Consider the following 1567-nt stretch of genomic DNA (forward strand, 5'->3'; position numbering starts at 1 on the left):
GCTTTACTTACAAGTGGGAACTAAACATTCTGTACACATGGACATAAATAAGGGAACAACAGACACTGTGCCTAGTGTTTGGGAAGAGGGTAAGGAAAACCTACCTATTGGATACTATGCTTATTACTGGGGTGATGACATGCTCTGTACACCAAATCCTGACAACACATAATTCACCTATATAACAAACCTGCACATGTACTCCAAAACTAAAATAAAAGTTAAAAAATAAGATGAGGTTATATGCCTACCTCTGCTATGATCACTCAGAAAACTCTGGGAATGTTTTTCCCTCTGATAAACAAAAATGAAGGGTAAACATACTTTATATTTATTAAAATTTTATTCTAGGCCAGACATATTCTGTGAGTTATCTTGGTTAGTTCTTTCAACAGCGATTAAAAATAGATATTCTGCTCTTCCTCCTTGTTAAAATGAGAAAAAGAGGAGAGAGTGATAGACAGGAAGCAGGATGAACTTGCAGCTCCTACTCAGAGGGACAGAGCAGCATGTGGAGACCCACATTGCTAACTTTTCTCCAAGAACTATCCCAGGAACATACCAGGAAAGCTGAGAGAATCCACAGATGCGTTGAAGACAGTTGATTGCCACTGCAGGCTCCATGGGCAGCCAAGGAACTGTGAGTCCCCTTGCTTTCTCAGCTGGGAGGCTTGTAGCCTGGGGCAAGTTCTCGGTCCTGCTCATCAGCTGCCTAGAAATAAACTCAGTGCTTTTGGGTGGGGCTGGGGGCATGGTGGGAGTGAAACTGGCCTTTCAGGCCATGGGCTGAGTGGGAGGTGGGTGAGGTCTGTGGCTGCCATCTTTCCCCCATTTCCCTGGCAACCTGTGTGATGCAGAACAGACAGCCATAATCCCCCAAGGAACATAACTGCACTGGCCTGTGAACCACACCCCAATCTGCCACAGCAGCCACAGCAAGCCCTGCCCAAGAGAGACTGAGCTCAGACATGCCTAACCCTGCTCCCACTTGATGGTCTTTCTCTACTCACCCTGGTAGCCAGAATACAAAGAACATAATCTTTTGGGAGCTCTATGACCCTGCCCACTGCCTGAGAAACCTGAATACTTATCCAAGGGTGACCCTAGGGCAAGCTTGTATCCTCCTTATACAATCACAGCTGATGTGCTCTTGAAAGTGCTACCTCCTTCCTGGAGGCCAGCCAACACAAAAGCAACACACATGAAAATACAAAAACCAACACATATAAAAATACAACCAAGGACTCTCACAGAGTCCACTTCATTCTCCTGCTACCTCCACCAGAGTAGGTGTTGGTATCCAAAGCTGAGAGACCTGAAGATGAATCACATCAAAAGACTCTTTATAGGTACTCCCCAGAACCAGCCCAAAGCCCAGTAGCTCCACTGGGTGGCTAGATCCAGAAGAGAACTAACAATCACTGCAGTTTGGCTCTCAGGAAGCCCCATCCCTAGGGCAAAGGGGAGAGCACCAGGTCAAGGGAGCACCCCCATGGGACACAAGAATCTGAACAGCAGCCCTTGAGTTCCAGATCTTCCCTCTGACATAGTCTACCCAAATGAGAAG

At 46.5% G+C, this 1567-nt stretch overlaps 1 long non-coding RNA gene across 1 annotated transcript; it reads right to left on the bottom strand.

The window, feature by feature from the left end:
• Nucleotides 1-324: 324 nt before the first annotated feature.
• LOC124909342 (uncharacterized) lies at nucleotides 325-1214 on the bottom strand. The gene is made up of 2 exons (XR_007095813.1): nucleotides 563-1214; nucleotides 325-425 (listed from the first exon to the last, which is right to left on the bottom strand). It is a non-coding gene; the product is annotated as an uncharacterized LOC124909342 (long non-coding RNA).
• Nucleotides 1215-1567: the final 353 nt, after the last annotated feature.

Source organism: Homo sapiens, chromosome 3 (assembly GCF_000001405.40).
Source record: "Homo sapiens chromosome 3, GRCh38.p14 Primary Assembly".
Lineage (NCBI taxonomy): Eukaryota > Metazoa > Chordata > Mammalia > Primates > Hominidae > Homo > Homo sapiens.